Here is a 22,304-nt window from a genome sequence, read left to right as displayed (position 1 = left end):
CTTTGGAGTTGTATTAGTTAGGAGTCAGGATTCTCCAGAGAAGGCACACACACACACACACACACAGAGAGGGAGACACTGTGTGTGTGTGTGTGTGTGTGTGTGTGTGTGTGTGTGTGTAAATACAAAGGAAAAGAGAGAGGTGGAGATTTTAAGGGCTTATCTCAGCAGCAATTGTGGCAGCTAGTAAGTCTGGATTCTATAGACAAGTTAGCAGAGGCTGGAGATTCAGGTAGGAGTTGATGTTTTAGTCTTGAGTCTGAAAGCTGGAAATTCAGCAGAATTTTTATATTCCAGTCTGTAGTCAGAATTCCTCAGTCTTTGCTCTTAAGATATTCAACTGATTGGATGAAGACCACCCAGATTATGGAGGGTAATTTCCTTTAAGTCAACTGATTGTAAACATTAATCACATTTTTAAAAATACCTGTACAGTAACATCTGGACTAATGTTGACCAAATATCTGATCATCACAGTCTAGCCAAGTTGACATAAAATCAACTATTCCGGGATTGATCCTTGACTTTTCTTGACCCAAAAAATCCAATCACTCCCCAACTCCATCCACTCCACTTACCACTCTGGTCTAATTTATCACCATCTTTCTTCTGGATTATTGCAATCACCTCCTACTAGGTTTCCCTCCTTCTACTTTTGCATCCTCTAGGTATGCTCCCAAACTTAGGGCCTTTGCCCTTGGTCTTCTCTCTGCCAGGAAGACTTTAGCCTTGCCTATCCACATGACTGACCCAGCCACTTCTCTGGTCTTAACTCAAAAGTCCCCACCCAGTTCAACCTTCCCTGGCCCTATCTGTCATCTGTCACAACGCATACTTCACTTCCCATTCCCTGCTTTATTTCTTTTCTAACTCTGTGTAACTTACCTACTTAAGTATTGTCTTTTTCCCAGTAGAATATGAGCTCTGCAGGTAAAACTTGTGTGTGTGTGTGTGTGTGTGTGTGTTTGTGTGTCTGTGTGTGTATGTGTGTGTATCGGAGAAGAGAGGGTGTTTATCATTGTATCCTAGGACCCAGAATACTGCTTGGCCTATAGTAGGTACTCAAGAATACCGGTTTAATGATGGAAGTAGCTTTTCGAATTTAATCAGAATTAAAGGAAGTTTTAGAATTTGGGGTATCAGCAATGTAAGTTTGTTAGGGATTATTCAAGGCAGAGGAAATAACAAAAACAGAAACTTGGCCTAAAACAGATAACATGTTAAAGGGACAATAAGAGTTCAGCATGACTGAAAAATGTAAAGTTCAGTGTGGAGGCAAATAGTGTAGAATGAATTTAGATTAATCTGCAGGAGTTGATTAGAAAACGTCTCATGGGAACTTTATACTAGATAATGGGGAAATATTGAAAGATTTTAAGAAAAAGAGTGACAAGGTCATATTTTCACTCTAAAATCTAATCAGAGACTGCAATTTAGATAATATATTAGAGAGGGGCTAGGAAGAGGAATAGTTGTTTCCAAAATGATCTTGCCTACAATAAGATAACTCTCAGGGTTACTGTGTCTTAAGGAGAGAGAGAAAAGGGATAACAATGTTATTAAAGATGAGAATCTATCCCCTACAGTAAATGAAAACAAAAGTTAGTAGAAAAAAGTTCATCCCATTATAGGTTTCTAAGTCTGTGTTGCACTAAAATAAAGTCATTTTGAAGCAATAAACAAATTTAATTTTAACAATGATTCAGGTACATGTGGGAGCTGAGGAACTAATTATTTTCACCCTCTAAAGTACCTACTGCAGTTTATCAAGTTTGCAAGATAAATGTTTTAATTCACTACATTTACGTAAATCCCCTTGCCGCACCTTTTTTAATCAGTGCACTTACAAAATGAATTGATTTTCTAACGTTCTCCAACTTTTTTCAATTAGCATACTTACATTTGCACTTTTCAAAATTCATTTTTTCATTACATAAAATACCTTATCAACTTATCACCAAAAATATGGATTTCCAGAATCAATCAAAATGTGAAAATTTAATTTCCTCCCTTATAATAGAGTCCATCTTGTCTTACCTTCTACGTCATACTCACCGCTTTCATTAAATCAAAGCTAGTAACCTTGCTCTTAGGTTTAGATGCTAAGCCTTAGAAAGAATTGAAAAAATTAAATTGTGAGTTGGTACAAAAGCTCAGACCATCATGAAAAAGACTACTAAGTAAATCTATATTTTTCAACAAAATAAAACTCTCCAAGCATGAGTTTTTTTTCAACAAAATAAAACTCTCCAAGCATGAGTTTTTTTTCAACAAAATAAAACTCTCCACGCATGAGTTTTTTTATACGAATTGTTCATCCTCTTCATTGGAACAGAACTTTGTAAGGTGATCTATAATACTAACTACATTACAATCAGAAAGCAAAATTCTACCCTTTATAATGCTCGCTAAATATATTAGAATAACAAGTATCAATACACATTTTTGTGCTTATTGTGTTCTTTAAGTACCTCCTAAAAGAGGTAGCATTTGAGAGATGGGAGGAAGAAGCAGAAGGATGAAATTATACCTTTAAGCACATTAAAGAAAAGATTAGAATAGATTTAAGCCTGATCTATTACACAAATAGCTCTTAGACAACCCCAAATATTAGCCTAGAGGAGAGAATGACTGCCTTTTCCTCATTTTTTCTCTCTTGGGTTCAGAGTAGCTCAGTTCTGATTCCTCAGATTAATGTTTTTATCTATATCTGAGTCTTCTGGGTGCAAAACTGGAACCAACCAACTGAGGTCAGACCAAGAAGAATGTAATGTTTCTCTCAGCTTTAGACAGGTTAATCCCTGACTATAGGCCCTTGTCCTCCCTTTTCTTATTTACTTTAGGAAACTTGCAATTGCTAATTTTTGCCCTATTGCTTCGAAATGTAAATGTTCTACAACCCAGTCATGGCTTTCTCTAAGACCTGGGAAGTAGAAACATTAAGAAAAGTAGAGCCCCGGTCTCCAAGTCTTTGTGAGAGTGTAAGAGCCTAACTAGGGGAAAATGCCAATTAGCAAACACAGACGGCCTAATCATATTGCCCAATGCCCCATCCTAGGTCTTCAAGGATTTACCCAATAGCTCACTCCAGTGTTTAACAACTCTTCTGCCTTTTGTTTCAGTGGAATTGAATTCATTCTTTCTCTTTATTCCAACAGTCTTAACTACTGTTGAAACAGTAGAAGACTTGATGAAGTCTTCTCTGCCTGTTTAACTGCACCCAGTGCAATTTTTCTTTGAGAAGTCACAGGCTGATATTCTCCACTGATGGAGACAGTCACAGCCCTATTTGGGCCATAGTTTTAATAATTAGGCCCCAAGCATAACAAGAACACAAAACTAGAGGGTGTTTGTGTGTGTTTGCATGAGTGTGTGTATGCGCACTCATACAAATGCATTGGCTGGGCAAATTAGACCCATCTTTTCCTTGGTTTTACCTTCCTATATGCAGAAGTTCCTGTAGATAACTGTTCCATCTCCTCCTCTTCAGGGGAGGAGTGCATTAGCTACTTGGTAATATTGGGAACAATAGATCTGTCTGGCTGTGTGGCCAGCTCAGTGGGGCAGTCTGAGACAGAATAAGCACTGTAAAACTGTTACATTAATTAATTGTGAAATAAATAACTACATTTCAAATTCAGGCAAGAAGCAAGGAGATCATTTTTGAGGTTCTCAAATGCTAATAGTTTGTCAGGCCAGTACTTTAAAAAATTGAAGTACTTAAAACACTAAATTTAGAAATTCAGCTTAACATGTTTAAGGGGATTTAATTAACTAATTTATTCAAGGAATTAATTGTTTGAGAGTTTAAACCATTAAACTTGAGCTGATCAAATGTTAATTAAATGTTAATGGTAAAGGGTGTCTAGGTTCTTGGCATCTTGAACAAAGAATTGGACAAAACTCACAAACAAAGCAAGGAAGGAATGAAGGGATCTATTGAAAATGAAAGCACACTTCACAGTGTGGGAGCGGGCCTGAGCATAGTGGGGCTCAAAGGCCCTGTTACAGAATTTCTGGGAGTTTAAATACCCTCTAGAGGATTCCATTGGTTAGTTGGGGTACACCCTACGTAAATGGAGAGAATGAAGTAAAGTTACAAAGTCATTTACAGCCTACGCCCTATGGAGAGGATATTTCCTGTCCTAGCTGAAGTGTGAATCCACCTTAGCTCCTCACCCTATTTTCCTGCCTCCTCACCCTATTTTCCCTGCCTCTTCACCCTATTTTCCTGCCTCCTCACCCTATTTTCCCTGCCTCTTCACCCTATTTTCCTGTTTCATAAAGAGTAAGTAAAAGAGTATAAGTGACTGTTCTTTTTCAAATAAAATGTATTTAGATTTTTGAATGACATAAGATTTATAAAACATAGCTTGAAAACCTAAGGCAAATGTGATTATTGAATTTGTAACTCTAATAAATTGAATATCAATTTAACTGCAAAAGGTAAGAGTGTTCATTGCTAAAAGGCATTGAAATACTTACATTAACTATTAAAATAATAATCTATCCAGTCTTTCAGGAATTATTTTGAATAGCTTGAGAACAGATGTGAATGTCACTAAAGGATCCATGAAAGGATTTTGAATATTGGTTATGAGGAAATTATCTATATAAACTTCCCTGCATACTTCTTTAAAAAGAAATCAACAACAAAAAGATAAACCCTTTTAAAATAAACCTTCCATATTTTAAATATCAAGGAAAATATAATCTGATAATTTTATAATTTTATTTATTTATTTTTTAAGACAGAGTTTAACTCTTGGTGCCCAGGCTGGAGTGAATGGTGCAATCTCAGCTCACTGCAAACTCCACCTCCCAGGTTCAAGGGATTCTGTTGCCTCAGCCTCCCAAGTAGCTGGGATTATAGGCATGTGCCACCATGCACAGCTAATTTTTTGTATTTAGTAGAGACAGGGTTTCACCATGTTGGTCAGCCTGGTCTCCTGAGGTCAGGAGTTCGAGACCAGTCTGATAATTTTAAATTGATGTTTATTTTAGCTAACATATGAGATTTCAATAGGTCGTTCATTACTTAATGACCCAATTCTATACAAATGGACAGAGTTTTATTTTTTAACATTTTAAGAAATAGGAAAGAGCTTTGTACAGAAACAAGTATGATGCAATTGTGGCCATTTAGAGCACTGTCACCTAACTTTACTATTTTAAATTACAATCAAGGTAGAAGTCACTGTGCTAAGTGATTAATCTAGAAACACTCTGAGTGTTTCTATTGCAATTGTGAGTGTTGCAACATACATACAAAATAATATTTTAAAAGAACTAGAATGAGATAGTATATAAAGTACAGTAAAATTTCATTTCTTCTTGGGTGTCCCCAAATAATCAGGTGTATTTGTTCTAACTCTTACAAGGTAGGTAAGCACTTGACCAGGGATGTGACGCAATTTGTTATACCTAACTAAATGTTCATTGTCAGATTATGTGACTTCCCCAGTCATAAAATTGTTCCTTTGAGAAATACATTATGTTTCAATGAGATCTAATTTATTCTGATATTCAGAAAATAATCTAGTGAGAAAATAGGCACTTCCTTTATTCAGACATATGAAGGCAAGCCCTGTTTCTTCTTTGAATGCATATGTCACAAAGATAACATTACCATTTAAGTAAATGCCATCAATGGGAAGTCAGTAGCAGTCAGTAAAAAAGCTAATTGCAACACTTTCAGGATGAAAAACGTGAAGAGAGTCTCAGAGAACTAAAAAATATTTACAGCTTAGTGTAATTAAAGCAAAAAAGAAATGAAGCAAGGATAAAGAATGCAGAATAGGGGGAGGTGACAAGACAGAGTGGAAGGAAATGGACCTGAGGGAGAAAAGAAGGAAAAGAGTAAGTGAGATTGGCAGTTACTAAAAGCTGTTGGGTTGTTCCCATCAATAACAGGGAGAGGCATTTCTCAAGGCCACTCCATGACACAGGAAAAGAGGAAGCTGGAGAAAACAGCAGGTCTCAAAGCCAAGCTGTTTTACTCAGAAAGGGTTGACTTAGCTCTGTGTGCTGTTGGAAAGAATTAACACGTGCATAGCTGAGGGAGAAATTCAGACCTTTTTACTTTTCACCGGATTCAAATAAAAATCAGGACACAATCAACATAACAAAAGATATGCCGATTACTTAATATAATTCTACTGCATTCATCAAAAGCCTTTCTCTGTTTAGAAGCCTGTTCTTCTCAATAGTTAGGTGTCTCACAGAGATAATGAAATGCATCATCAAAGAAGCACTTACATTCACATGCATTGGCAAAAGTGTAGGTGAGGCCACCTACTGGGTATGCTGTGAAGTGCAAGAAGTTCCTCCATTTTGAAATACCTGTTTCATCCGTGTGTCAATGTGAAAGAAATTTCCTCCAACAAGATCTTTCAGATTTAGGCGTTCTTTTCTTTGAAGACCCAGGTTAAAATACAAGTCTGTTAACTGAAGGTGAAACTCGACTTCCTTTGTAGGCCTGATCCTTATCTGTAATGGTTAATTTCACTGCAGATGGCAAATTTGGGGTATTCTCCCCAGGTTTCTTCTTTGTAAAGTTTCCCAATTCAAATAAGGTGGCATGAGAGAATTATGTATAGAATTATTATATACTGAGGCATGTATAACCTTAAAAGTGTATTTGTATTTATAACCACTATGCATCTATAAGATCAAAGGCAATTACAAATACCAGTAAAATTATAAAATTGAGACTAGTCAAATGAAGAGTATAAATTTAACATAAAGAGAATATTGTCTTGCTTAAAGTGAATTGTTGAATGCTTAATGAGTCATGTGATGAGTGAATTTTTCCACTACTGAGTTTTCACTCAGAGAGCATGCTTGACACCGTGGACTGAATTCATCACACACATTTTAATCACCTATTGTTTATGCATGATTTTGACTCTGTCCTTTTAACAATAGCCCTCAACACTTAAGAGTAGCACAGTCTGCCTGGAACTCCATCATAAACATAAAAATTCAAGGTCTAAAATCGAGCACAGAAATCAATTAGCAAAACTTGGTTTTAAGATGGTTGTCCAAATGATCCAGAGTATGTTTATTTTTTAAAAAAATCTTAAATACTTAAATTCAAAAATTTACAACATTCAAAAATTATTCATGTTTAGTATTTGCATTTGCAGGCTCCAATTTAAACTACATTGCTACAGAGCAATGTTGTCTAACGGAACTTCCTGCAATCAGCCGGGTACAGTGGCTTATGCCTGTAATTATAGGTATTAAGAAGGTTGAGGCGGAAGAATTACATGAGGCCAGGAGGTCTAGACCAGCCTGAGCAACATAGTAAAATCCTGTCTCTAAAAAAAATATATTTTTTTAATTAGCCAGATATGGTGGCACGTGTGTCAATTACTTGGAGGGCTTAGGAGGGAGGATTGCTTGAGCCCAGGAGTTCAAGGTTGTAGTGAGCTATGTTGTGCCACTCCAGCCTGGATGACAGAGCTATCCCTGTCTCTAAAAGTAGATAAATAAAAATAAAGAAAGAAAAGAAAAACTTTCTGAACTAATGAAAATGTTCTATATCTGCACTATCCAATACAGTGCTAACCACATATGGCTACAGAGTTCCTTCAAATGCAGCTAATGCAACTGACAAATTGAATATTTAATTTTATTTAATTTTGACTAAATTTAAATAGCTACATAGGGTCAGTGGCTACTGGAATAGTCAGCACTGCTGTATTTTTTATTAAACCCTCATTAAATCCTGGCTTTCCAAAATAGTACTAAAATAACATGGTATAATAGAAATTAACACAAGTTAGTAACTTAGAACAACAAGCATTTATTAGCTCACACAGTTTCCATAGGTCATGAATTTGGTAGCAGCTTAGCTGGGTGAGTCTGACTCAGGGTCTCTCATGAAGCTGCAGCCAAGATGTTTGTGTGGGCTAACAGCAATCTGAAGGCTTGACTGTGGCTGAAGGATTAACTCTAAAATGGCTCACTCACAGGATTGCTGGCAGAAGGCCTCAGTTCATTGCTGGCTGTTGCAGGAGACCTCATTTCCTTGCCAGGTGGATTTCTCTATGAGGCTGTTCAGTGTGACCTCACAACATGGCAGCTAGCTTCCCCTAGAGCATGTAATCCAAGCTTCCTCCAGAGTGTGCCATCCAAGAAAGGAAGTCAACGTGCTTTTTAAGATATTGTCTCTAAATTCACATCCTGTCACTTTCTTTACTAGAAACAAGTCACTACGTCCAACCTACTCTCAAGAGGAGAGGAATTAGGCTCCATCTCTTGAAGGCAAGAATATTAGAGAATTTGTGTGCATAATTTAAATCCACCATAGACATGTTAACTTATCTAGAGCAATGGAACTAATAAGTGGAAAAGCCTGCATTTGAACTTATTTCAGTCTTAGTCTGGAACCAATGTTTTAATTGCAGCTCTCCAGTGCCTAGGAAAACTATATATTCTAATGTATTATCTCTTGAGAGCACATTTAGAAACCAAATGCAATCTAAATGTAAGTATCTACTTTAAATTTTCTTGATTTTAAAAAGACATAGCATTTCAAAAATCTATTTATAAGTTCCCAAGTGCAATTTGACATTATAGTCTCATCATTTGAAACTTTTCCTCTTTCCTAAGAAATTGGGTAGATATTAAGCTCACAAAGAAGGTAAAACAACCAGCAAGTTGTTTGGAATTCCAGTATCTATTTCCGGAAATTCCAGTTAAACTTCTCTTTTTTAGGAAACCTCAGAGTGACAGCCATGCCCAAACTCCTCTTTGACAGTCTCTTCTATATTCCTGCTTAAGATGTGCCCCACATAGTTATGCTCAGGGAAGTGGTACAATCAGGGAAGCACAGTTTGAATGATGTTTACAATCTTTACTTGATCTCTCAAAAAATAATAAAGGTGATTCAAGTACATAGTTGACATGAATTCTTACTAAAATTCCAAATACCAAGGAAACGCCCCAGAGCCTCTCATCATTCTGAGGAAAGAATGCTTTGCATTCTCTCCACCATTCCATGCCCCACTTTCTCCGCCTCTCCCACTCCACCCACCATGTGTGCTTTCACACGTTTTTCTTTGGGCCTGTAACTGCTCAGAAGTATATTAGCTATGCTTTTCTCCCCACTCTTGCTGAAGAATTTGGCAACGGAACTGTTGTCCTTTCTGCTTCTTCACGCACAGACTCTTCGTCACCAGAGCCCAAAGCACCAATGACCATAAGAGCAGTAGAAACAGCAAAATAATCTACTAATCCACAACCTTTCATGGCAGTTAGAGAGAAGGGGGATCTACATATATGATTATTTTCTCTGCTACTCCAGACATAGGTGACTGGACCAGGAACTGGTGTCTGACATAAAGGCAGCCATCTGCAGGATGAGCAGGAATCTGAGAAGTGGCTTGGCAGAAACACAGTCCAGGCTAAGGGATCCAGAGTTAATGGTGACTGAGAAAACCCCTTGCACTCTTTTTTTTTTTTTTCTAGGAAATTTAACTGTGAAACACTTAGTAAGGAAATAAATGAGTAGAGAGAGCAGAAGCCTAGAGATGAAGACCTATAAGGCAGTAAGCCTTGTGTGATTAGCCCTGAGTGACAAGGAAGAAAACTAGGTTTAAAACAAAGTCTAATTAACTGAGAACTCAAGTGTGACTCTTCCTCGCAATGGAGGGATCTTATGTACCTACTAAAAAGGATATAAATTGTGTTTTCTATCTTTCGACAACTTTTATTTAGGGTTTATCATTTATTCATATATTTATTTACCTCAATGTCAGCGCTAACCTGGTTTCTACAGTAATAATGATAGCTAACATTTCTTGGATGGTTACTAGGCATCAGCACTGTTCTAAGTGGTGAATTATATTAGCATGTGTCTGTTACACTTCTCACTTTATATGAAGATGTGAAGACATGGTATCAAACTAACTGGCTTCCTGTCATATAGCTAGCGAGTGGCAGAGGCAGCATCTTTGTCCATTTGTGCTACTATGACAAAATACCATAAAGTGGGTAATTTTATTTTATTTTTTGGCTAAAAGAACAGAAATTTATTTCTCACAGTTCTGGAGGCTGGGATGACAAGATCAACATTCTGGCAAGTGCAGAGAGACAGAGAGCTCTGGTCTCTTTTCTTATAGTGACACTAATGCTATTGGATCAGGACCCCACACTTATTACTTCATTTATGCTTAATTACCTCCATAAAGACCCTACCTCCAAATACAGTTATATTGGGGGTCAGGGATTTAGCGAATAAATTTGCAGAGGACACAAACATTCAGTTCATAGCCACTAATATCGTCCTTTTAATTGGAAAGTCGCTGGTAGATTTATCAACTTTGTCTAGGTCCACAAAGTAAATTGGGGTTAAAGAAAAAATTTAGGAACAATAGAAATATATTTCTCATAATTCTGGAACATGGGAAGTTAAAGATCAAGGTGCCAGCAGGTTTGGTGTCTAGTAAGGACCTGGTCTCTGCTTTCAAGATGGCACCTGGTTGCTGCATCCTCCAAAGGGGATGAAGGCTGTGTCCAGAAAGCAAAAGGAAACGAACACTAGTCGCCTCCAGACAAATTTATAAATTCACTAATCCCTTTCATGAGAGCTCCACTCCGTGACTTAACTAGCTCCAAAGGCCCCACCTCTTAATACTACTGCACTGGAGATTAAGATTCGACATAAATTTTGAAGGAACACAAACACTCATACCATAGCGGTAAGGTTTGAAACCACATAGTCTGGCTCCAAAGGCTGTACTTCTAACTGTTGTATTCTTCTGCTGCTCTAAATGAAACAGTTGCCTCCTCACTGTGAGATAATTTCCAAATGTCTTACCCTGACATGGAAGGCTCCCACAGTCTAGCCCACAACAATCTTTATCAAATCCCATTACTTCAATTTTTATAAACCCCAGCATCTCCCCTCATAGTTCCCTAAGAAATGAGCCTGCAGGCTTTGTGCTGCCTCTCTCTGCACCTTTATGTCTCCTGAAACTGGAAAACCTAACTAACTACAGGTGCGATCACAGTAAACCGACACATAAAAAGCAGCAGGCCTTCCGAATGCTACAGTCTCATACATCTGAATGCTGAGGCTGTAGAATCCAACTTTGACAAACAACGTAATCTTTCTGACTGCTTTATAAGTGTGTATTTAGGTTCTCAGCTGAAGAACAAGAAAAATGAAATTTAGTGCCAAGCTGTGTGGACATGGTCAGACTCTTGGATAATTTATTTTTTATGACAGATTCCATTTTCTGCTGCTGGCATGATTACACGGGAAGACATTTATCCACTGAGAGTACGTTTGTGTCTTTTGAATGGGCTAACTCAGTGGTAGGATTTAATTTGTGCAATATTATTCACTTATTAGACCAAAAGACTAAGTACATGCTCGGCATTACTAAGTTTATTGAAATGTTATTACAAGAATTCGTCTTGAGAGGCAAAAGGAACATCAGTGCTTAGCCTGAGATTTTCTCATTATCTTCGAAGTGCAGATATCATTGAGATGATTAGTTTCCTGGATAAATTTAGATTTGAAGAGGTGTGAATATGTGCTCTGTTAGAAATGTTGTGTTGCAGTATCGTTTATACTGTAAGGCTGTTGCTGAAAACTGAAGTACGTAGAGAGTGAACTGGGTGAGTGTGTGTTAACAGCGAATTGCAAACTCTACTTGAGAATGCTCCTCGGAACAAAGGGACTGTCACTTATCAGGTCTAGCCAATTGTTGCAATGGTGGAATGTAGCCCAACATTGACAGATAGCCTCATTTTTAAGAAAAACAAAATTTTTGGATATCTATATAAAATACCCTGATGTTTAAATGTTGGTAAGTATGGTAGACAGAATTCTAAAAATGACTTCTCTTGGCTGTCTTCCTTGTGTAACCCCTCCCCTTTGAATGTGAGTGGAATTTGTCAATATAATGACGTATTACTCCTGTGACTGTTATGTGCCCAAAGGTGATTATCTAGATGGGCTCAATCTAACCACGGAATCAGAAAGAGGAAAATACAAGAAGGATACCACAGATCTTTGCTGGCTTTGAAGATACAGGGGGCTATATCTTCAGCCTCTAGGATCTGAGCACAGTCTGGGGCTGGTAAGCTAGCCAGAAAATGGGGACCTCAATCTCACATTCACAAGATACAGAATTCTGCCAACAACCAGAATGAGCTTGGAAGTGAATTCTTCCCGAAAGCCTTCAAATAAGTGTTCATCCCAGCCGACATTTTCTTTTTGATCTTGTGAGATTCCGATCAGAGAATCCAATGGAGTGCAACATAAATAATGACTTACAGATTTGTGAGCCAATAAATGGGTATTGTCTTATATTGATAAGTATATGGTTATTTGTTATTTAGCAATAGAAAATTAATGCAGTGTATTAGGCTGCTATGAAGAAATACCTGAGACTGGGTAATTTATAAAGAAAAAGAGGTTTAATTGACTCACAGTTCCACATGTCTGGGAAGGCCTCTGGAAACTTACAATCATGGCATAAAGCACCTCTTCACAGGGCAGCAGGAGAAAGAATGAGTGCAAGCACGAGAAACGCCAGACATTTATAAAACCATCAGATCTCATGAGACTCACTCATTATCACGAGAACAGCATTGGGAAAAACACTCCCATGATTAAATTACCTCCACCTGTTCCCACTTTGACACATGGAGATTATTAAAATTCAAGGTGAGATTTGGGTGGGGACACAGAGCCAAACCATATAATGCAGTAAGCATTTAAAATAATTTAAAATCTTTAGTAGGAATATTAACACATACCAGTCAATGAAGGATCTGTTTACAATCTTTGGTATAATTAAGGTAAGGTAAGAGTTCAGATGAAAGGGATTATGAGCATTTTTTCATCTTCTAATGTAACCAACTGTGCTATGTGCTTCTCGTGATCATCATTTAAAGTCAGTCTGAAATAACTTTTGATTGAATTCCTTTGATTAAATGGATACATTTTGATAGAAATGAAAATAAAGTTCACAAAGCAATGATGGGTAAAAACATAAAATGGTGAAATGTGTAAGAGCATTAAGAGAGACAATTTGCTTTGGGAATATTTTTTGTATTTGGTTATTTGAGGTAATCTAGGTAAATCAAGTAAAAGGAAATTTTTTATCATTTTTTCCTAAAAATAATTCCAGTATAATTATTTTTTTAAAACTCTTTGTATGCCTCCGTAAATCTGCTTCATTTATTCTTGAGGATGTTTCTTTAAAATATATGGCAAATATTTGCATTCCCAAAGATCGCCTAGCTTGAATCACATGTAGTAAAAGTAGCACAAGTTCAGAAATTCCCTAAGATATTCTTTCTCTTTTAGTAAACAAACTTCCAAAGATTATTTCCAGGGAATACATTTATTCTCATTTCCTTGCCCCAATAATATTCTTCAACCAAAGTGGTTCTTAAATATCAAAACAATTAATCAGTAAGTACTGTCTCTTGCAGCTCTCACAAGACTCTCTTCATATATTCAACATCATTAATTGAACATCTATTTTGTTGAGGTCACTGTGTTATAAAGAGAATGCTAAGCACAAAGAAGGCCAAAAAGATAGGATGGCTATCTAGCTTTAAGTAGCTTACTATCTTCTTCTCTTTTAAAACTTGTCTATTATAGTTAAGAAGTGGACATTTATTGGCTTTATTAAAGATGCTACTGAGATTTCCTAGCCACCCTTTCCCTTCCACCAACCACACACACAAACATCAATTCGAAGAAGGCAGTTGAACCCACTCAGTTGCAGGTGAAGCTGAGGGTTGGCAAGATTTCCGTCTCCTCCATGGCTGGAGAAACCTGCCCAGGGATGCTGACTACATAAAAACCGGTAAGCTGGATTACCATTCTGCCCTCCATGGCAGATGCATGTGACCACTTGCATGCCTTATCATTCACATAAGTCATTCCTCCTGCTCTGGGAGAGTTTAAGGAGTAGGGCTTCAAGAGCAGACTAGGGCCCTAGAGAAAAACTGGGGAAAATATGATTAATGTTCTTTACATGCAATTTTTACAAACGTAACATTTTTGGGCCCTGGGTCCTACATATTCACCCTTCCTTTCCAGAATGCCAGGCCCTGTTATTTGTACAATCCCCTTGCTTTGGCACTAGAGAGGGACAGACAATCCCTCCATGGTTCTTTCCTGATGAAATTTCTATTTCCTATGGCCCAGAGCCAAAATGTTTCTCTTTCATGAGTACTTATTTGGTCTTTAAAAATCAACCATTTATCTATTTAATGAAATTTAAAATAATGTACGTTCAGTAAATCAAACAAATTCCTTATCTTTAGAGGCTACAGATGATTATTAAAATCTGGAAATCCCAAAGCTTATGTCAAAATATAACTAACTCTGTTTTATTTTTTGGAATTTTCCTATTAACTTCCTATATATACTAAATAATGCATGCATTTAACTTTGATTGCACGGTGTATTTACGCTGGGATTACAGACAACTTTTCTTCACTTTACATGCCATGTTCTATTTGAAGAATAATATAAGGTTATTTAATAGATACTTTTGTGTATTTTCTGGAACTTGGCTACAATATTTAGTAGCTATGCCTCTATGGTCTTATTAACATTATGACATGCTAGAAGTTACAATTGCTTAACCACAGTCTTTCATGTTTTTGTTTTTAAAATTAATACTTGGACTGATTTCCCAAAAAAGGAAATTACTTGTGGCATTTTCCTATGATTATTTTCAAACTTCTTTTCCATTCTTGCCTTACTGATGTTGTTGAGATCTGCAACTTGACCTTTCTTTGAAATTAATAGTCACATAGTAACTGTAGGTCTGATTCTAACAGTATCAATATTTGCTTGGCTGGAGAAATGTTTTCATCTGTTTGCACATGATCTATTTTCTAGTTCTCTTGAGGTCTTGCATATCTTTTGCAATTCATTGTGAGAGAAGGAAATTTCCAGAGCAGACTGCAAATCCATGGTGTCCCGCAGGATTAATGTGGGAGTCCGCCCTCATGTAGTTAGTACACCAGCTGGTCACCCAGAAACTTTCCTCCACTATTGTCCTATGTTAATGGCATATAAACATTTTATTTTCAAGTTGGCAATGTAGATAGCATTAGTGACAATTATAATGTTATTTGATGAGATAATTATTTTACTTAAATCCTAATGCAGCTGTGTATTGGGGATATTAATAATTTCAAATTTCCAAGTGTGCCCCTAGTATAAGAGACATCTCTTCCTCAAGCTAGTTCCTAAAAACTCTCAGTTGATGCTGAAAAAAAAAACAAACAGCTAAAGGGCACACCATAAGAAAAAAAAGGCTAATTACTGTGTTGCATTCACAGAGGGATTACTTACAGCCTGTTCTCTATCGCCAGCCCCAAGGCTTCTGCAGATGAGCAAAATTTCTAGTAGCAGATATTAAAGAAAATGTATATTGTTGAGGAAATATGGTGTTTTTTATTTTGGAAGTAAATAGCCACTAAATTTTAATATGTAAGGAAAAGAACTTTAATATATAAGAAGAAGCATTACATTTTAGAAGTACCTTTATAGGTTCGGGGGTTCTTAGGAAATCATATTAGCAATTAGAATGTTGTTTGGTGAATAAGGGATGGGGACAAAAGCAGCTGATAGCCCTGTGTGATATTTTATCCAGATGAGGAAAAGTACTACTTTAATCTCTCTCTTATTTGTCATATTCAGTCTGCATGTCCATTTTGAGTGTATATGTAGATTTTTCTCTCTTATACTGCTTTTTAAAGCATTGTCTCTTTACATTTATTGATAAGTCTGCAGTGGTGATCTGATCTTGTTCTGGGAGTCATTATTGTATTTCAAATTTCTTTGGGTAGTTGTGCTTTATACTGTTCCTTTCGTTTTTTAATCTAGAGAAGAGAATCATTTTCTATCTTACAAAAGAATATTTGAGAAGGGTCTTTTTAATCCAAATGTAGAATACGTAGGTGCTATGGACCAACTTTTTGTGTCCCCACAGAATTGATATGTTGAAATCCTAACCCCACACTATGATGGTATTGACAGGTGGGGCCTTTGGTAGGTGATTAGGTGTTGAGGGCAGAGTCCTCATAGATGGGACGGGTGCCTTTACAAGAGAGATCCCAGCGAGCTCTCTTATCCCTTCACTCATGTGAGGGTACAGCTAGAAGACAGCTCTCCATGAGGAAACGGGCCCTCAACAGACACTAAATCTGCCAGAGCCTTGGTCATGGACTTCCCAGCCTCCAAAACTGAGAGAAATACATTTCTGTTGTTTATAACCCCCACAGTTTATGTTATTTTGTTACAGCAACCCAACTAGACTAAGACAGTAGGAAACTTTCATCCTGGGATTACAGAGCAAGAATATTACATATATAAAATTTTGAGCTTTTCTGGAGAAGGGGTGGACACGTTTATTATGGAGTCCATGTGTTTTTACCTAATAATTGAAGTTAAGGGAAAGTGTTACAAAAGATCACCAAGGTGATCTTTACCAAAGCTTGAGAATAAAGAAGGGTAACAGAATCCCTGCAATAGTTACAATGAACTACTGGAAGCCAGCACTGGGTATGAAGGGAAATGTGTCTGTACTCGGTAAGTTGAAAAACTTCCAACTCAAAGCCTCAGGTTAGCACTTCCAGCTGGGAAGATGCGCTATAAGTGATCGAGAAAGCTCCTTACCAAGTGTGGCTAGAGCTATGCTATTTAGTAGCAATCACTGGGCATATGTGGATAATTAGCATTTGATGAGTATATCAATTTAGGAATACAATTTTCAGCCTTATTTCATAGTAATTACCTAAGTTTACATTTAAAATTGATAATTTACTTTAACTGTATTTGGAACAACCGAAGCATGCCAATCTATCAACTGTAAATATTTTCAATTCTAAATACAGATCAAATTGTTCTGATGAAAATTTAGCATATGAATTCACACTAGGTATAAGTGTAAAAATACATGCTACATTTTGAAGTTTTAGCACAAAAAAAGAAAAAGAGAGAGCAGTATGTAAAATATTTAGAGGATCTTATTTAAAAGTATTTTAGCTTGATTTTACGTTGAAATGCTAATTTTTAATACATTTAAGTAACAAAATATATTATTATAATTAATTTTACCTCCTTCTTTTTACTTTTATCAATGTGGCTACTGGAAAATTTAAATTGCATTTTAGCCAGGCATGCTGATGCATGCCTTTGGTCTCAGGTACTCCTACTCAGCAAGAGGCTTGCTCGAGCCCAGGAGTTCGAGATTATAGTGAACTCTGACTGAACCACTGCACTCCAGCCTGCACAACAGAGTGAGACCCTGGCTTTAAAAAATAAAATGAGTTGCATATGTAGCACTCATATTTCTCTTGAAAATGCTGCTCTAGTCTAAAATCATAAAGCCTTATGATTGGGGTATATAGTTCAGGTGAATTTCCCTCCCTTGAGAAACCACTAATATTGGAAAAGACTCTTCTCTAGCTTTTATGTGGTAGCCAAATTGGAGACTTTATCTCCAACCACCATGCACCTGACTCTAGCTCTTCATAGTGCTGGCTTTCAGCCTCAGAAGTTCCACCAAAATCTGGCTTCTGTGTAGCATTGCTTCATCGCTGAGTCCCTAGCCCCACCAGTAAGAGGCTGAAGAGAATCTCTAGGCCTACATTCTGCTGCAACCAGAGGAAGGGCTGAACCAGGAATGTAAGTAGCTTATCAGGAAAGATTTTTGCCTGGGAAGTAGGGATCCCCTGCCCCCTCAAAGAGTTGCTAATGCTAGGCAAATGGCCACTCTACCACAAAGAGCCTATAAGGGAGTTTGGTCCAGCTTCTACACTGTGAACATCACCCTGCAAAACCCGCTTATATACTCAGCTGCCTCTGCACAGCATATCAAGTTAGATCAAACTAGACTGAACACAACTGTACTCAAGTGTTTTTGGTTGGGCTATTACCAGATACCTAGAGTTTTTACTCTCCCCCGGAATATCTGATAGATACACATTATTTGTATCACAAACAATGTATAGAACCACTCCAGTGACATTGGGTGAATTTTAATATCTGTCATCATCTTAGGGTATAAAATCTACAAGAACACAAATAGCAGATCAGGTGATTTTTCTAGGAGAAATCACAAAACTTAACTAGGATACAGATTTTTCTGACTCTTATTTCAATGGTTTTCCCCTTATATTCCTTTATAAATGTTATGTTAAATGTGCACAAATATATTAGGGAAATTGACAAATAATGACTAAAAGAACTATGAAGATTTTCACCATATTCTTCAAGATCTATTCTCAGTCTTTACTTGGTCAAGGTCTCTCTTGTGGGGGATAATCCCAAAGTGAAATTCACATCCTCACTTCTCATTTCTGTGCCAAAGATTCCTATTTTGATTTTTCCAGCCGCCACCTGTCCTCTAGGCTCTAGCATTACATTTCTACTGCTTGGTGTATTTTCTTTGTTCCCCCAGAAAACCCCACACATTGAAATTGCACTATATATAACTAAGGCATCTTTAAAAAAAAAAACTTGAAAAGCTGAAAGAAAAAGAAAACTTGATAGAAAGTATGGAGCACATTATATCTAAAGGGGAAAAAAAATTCCCAAACATGAGGCAGTGCTTTAAATAACACTAGTCCTCAAGTTATCTGCTTCTTCTCTGGTCACCCAGTCAGCATTCGAATTACTAATCTGGCTTCCCGAGACGCTGGACACCTGTATAAGTCATTCTTCTCAAATTTAATGCATTTGCTTAACATATGCTAAAATTCAGTTGCTGTCTCCATGTTCAGAAATATTTTTATTCCACAATATTATATGAAATAATTATATATAAATAATTAAATATATCTATATATCGAATATAATTCCATGTATATGTGTATATATATGCATATATGTATATATGTGTATATATATGTATATATATATACACATATATACACACACACACACATATATATATATACACATATAATTTTTTTTCTGGAAAAGCAAATAACATAGATTTTTGACCTCATCTGAGGGATCAGAAAGGTTTGTCTAAGGAAACGACATTTGAGACTGTATAAAGGTCTTGGGGTAAGAGAAAGGAAATGACTGTAAAAGAAATATTGTACCAAACCTGGTCTGGAACAAAACATTATTTATCTCTTGATGTAGTTTGTAATCTCCTTCACTGAATAAATTTGAATTGTGATAAAACATTTGGGAATTTTAAATAATTATTTAATTATGAGATGATATTTGTCACAAGGAAGGAACTAGTCACACCCTCACCTACCTGGCAGTCAAGAGTTTGGGGATGTTTAAATTTTCTTCTCTATTTTGTCTAATTTTCCTTTCCCATAGATGTCTCTATTTTAAGAGAAACTTTAAATTGGCCTCCTAGAGACTTTCTACCATCCTGCAAGATTATAACAAAACTTTGACATATGGTCATAGCTACATTGTCTGGAAAGTTATAAAGTTATTGTTGTTATTGTTTCAACAATTACTTCTAGGTTCTACAATTAGGCTAATGTACCAAAATAGGGGTGGTGGATATGGTGATAAAGGAAGCCGAGGGATAAGCAAGATTCAGTTTAAGTACGGAATTGTTGTCCTTTGGTATTTGAGTCTTATTTTTAAAAGCAAAATACAAAAGAGATGAGAGAGATGATCACATTTATATTTTGTAAAGATCAGTCTCTCTATATCAGCATTAATAGAAATATCAAGCAAGCCACAAATATGAGCAACATATTTAATTTTTAAATTTTTCATTAGTAGCCACATTAAAAAAGTAAAAACCAGGCCAGGTGCAATGGCTCATGCATGTAATCCTAGTACTTTAGGGAGCCAAGGTGGGAGCATCTGTTGAGCCCAGGAGTTCGAGACCAGCCTGGGTAACATAGTGAGACCTTGTGTCTACAAAGAATTTTTTTTAAAATTAGCCAACTGTGGTGGCATGGGCCTGTAGTCCCAACTACTTAGAGGGGCTGAGGTAGGAGGATTGCTTGAGACTGGGAGGTCGAGGATGCAATGAACTGTGATCATGACACTGCACTCCAGCCTGGGTTACAGAGTGAGACTGTGTCTCAAAAAATAAAAATAAAAATAAAAAATAAAAAGAATCAGATGAATTAATTTTAATATTATAGTTAATATAGCCTAATATATTGGAAATATTACTATTCTTAACATGTAATCAGTGTAAAAAGTATTTACTCTGTTATCAAGTTCAAATCTACCATGCCATTCTGGAATATTAAGGACAAGTGTTAAAAATTTAAATGATGGAGAAAGATTTATTTAATATTAGTATTTTGTTTTTACAATTTCATGGAAAATACTTGGAGAACTTTCATTTTTCTCTAATAAAATTCTAGTTTAGAATGTGCTCTGTTTAATTTCTATGAATAGGTTTTCTTATTGATGAGTTCCTGGGTAATTGAGAGATAATGTATACTTTATGTAGAGAAGAGATCCTCTTAATGATTACTTATCCAAATCATATTCACTGAATTAAAAATAATAGTGAATTCACTAAGGCAATATTTTACCTATTAATTGCTGTCCCTCCCAAAAACAGAAAACAAAATAAAAACATAATCCAAGCTTTTTTTGTTTGTTTGAGATGGAGTCTCGCTCTCTCACCCAGGCTGGAGTGCAGTGGCACGATCTCAGCTCACTGCCACCCCTGCCTCCTGGGCTCCAGCAATTCTCCTGCCTCAGCCTCCTGAGTAGCTGGGATTACAGGCACGCACCACCACGCCCGGCTAATTGCTAATTTTTATACTTTTAGTAGAGACAGAGTTTCACCATGTTGGTCAGGTTGGTCTTGAACTCCTGACCTCGTGACCCGCCCACCTCGGCCTCCCAAAGTACTGAGATTACAGATGTGAGCCACCGCACCTGGCCTGAAGCTTCCTTTTAAACATCTTCACTGATCAAAGAAATAGAAATAGACATTTTTAAGGTGGCCTATTATTTATAAAAATAATATTTTTCTTTTTTTAATGTGAAAAATCCAAAGCCTGAAATAAAGATAGTACTTGAATTTCTCCAAATGTAAACAAAATTCACTGGTATCATTGATTCTATCAGTATCTGAAAATATATCCTGTACAACTATTCAGTGGACTATTCACAGGGCTTTTTACAGTCAACCTCATAGTGGAGAACTTAGGTATTCATCAAAGGAAGAAGTGAGAGGAACAAAGACTCAATTTTACTGATTGTTTTTTTTGAGACAGAGTCTCGCTCTGTTGCCAGGCTGGAGTGCAGTGGCACAGTCTTGGCTCACTGCAACCTCTGCCTCCTAGGTTCAAGTGATTCTCCTGCCTCAGCCTCCCAGATAGCTGGGATTACAGGCACACACCACCATGCCCGGCTAATTTTTATATTTTTAGTAGAGATGGGGTTTCACCATGTTGGCCAGGCTGGTCTTGAACTCCTGATCCACCCGCCTTGACCTCCCAAAGTGCTGGGATTACAGGCCTGAGCCACCGCACCCGGCCAATTTTACTAACTGTTAAATCCTTTAGGACCATAGCCTGTGTCTCAATGGCGCTGATTCCTAGGAAAATTGCCTGGCACATATTAGGTATAATAACAGCTAACACTTAGGTAACATTTAAGCCAGGACAGAATCTTTTCTGAGTATTTTACATATTTTAAAATATTCATTATTCAAAACAATCTTATGAGTAGATAGATACTATAATAATCTCATTTTATAGATGAGTAAATTGAATCCTGAGACTATTACATTACTGATATTACTCATTTATAGTAACGGCAGTGTTAACATAGAAGCTAACAGTTATTGAAAGTTTCTTGAGTGATAGCTATTATTCTGATTACAGATCTAAACTCAATCCTCTCCACAGCCCTATGAATAAGTACTATTTCTATGCCCATTTTATAAATGAGGAAATTGAGTTAAAATATATATTCTTTCAAAACCTTAAAATAAATTTATTTACACCTTATTCTCAAGAATGTTTGAAAATAAAATAATAAATATTTCTTACTATTTTGTTAATTAATTGTTGTTAAAGCAGTTACAATTTATGGAGGGCTAGGCACCGTTTAAGGAATTTCCATGTAATAACCCATTTGATCTTCAGAGTAATCTGTGAGAGGTGGATACTATTATTATCATCACTTTATGAGTGAGGAAAATGAGGCACATAGAGTTTGAGTAAATTGGCCAAGGTCACACAAAGAATGACAATATTAGGATGTATACTTAGGCAGCCTGAAATTGCATTTAGCAGAACTGTACTGAAGTTTTGGCTAAATTCAATGTTTGTCTGAATAAGATAAATTG

Source organism: Homo sapiens, chromosome 12 (genome assembly GCF_000001405.40).
Source record: "Homo sapiens chromosome 12, GRCh38.p14 Primary Assembly".
Taxonomy (NCBI): domain Eukaryota; kingdom Metazoa; phylum Chordata; class Mammalia; order Primates; family Hominidae; genus Homo; species Homo sapiens.
Note: the sequence above shows the minus strand (reverse complement) of the source record.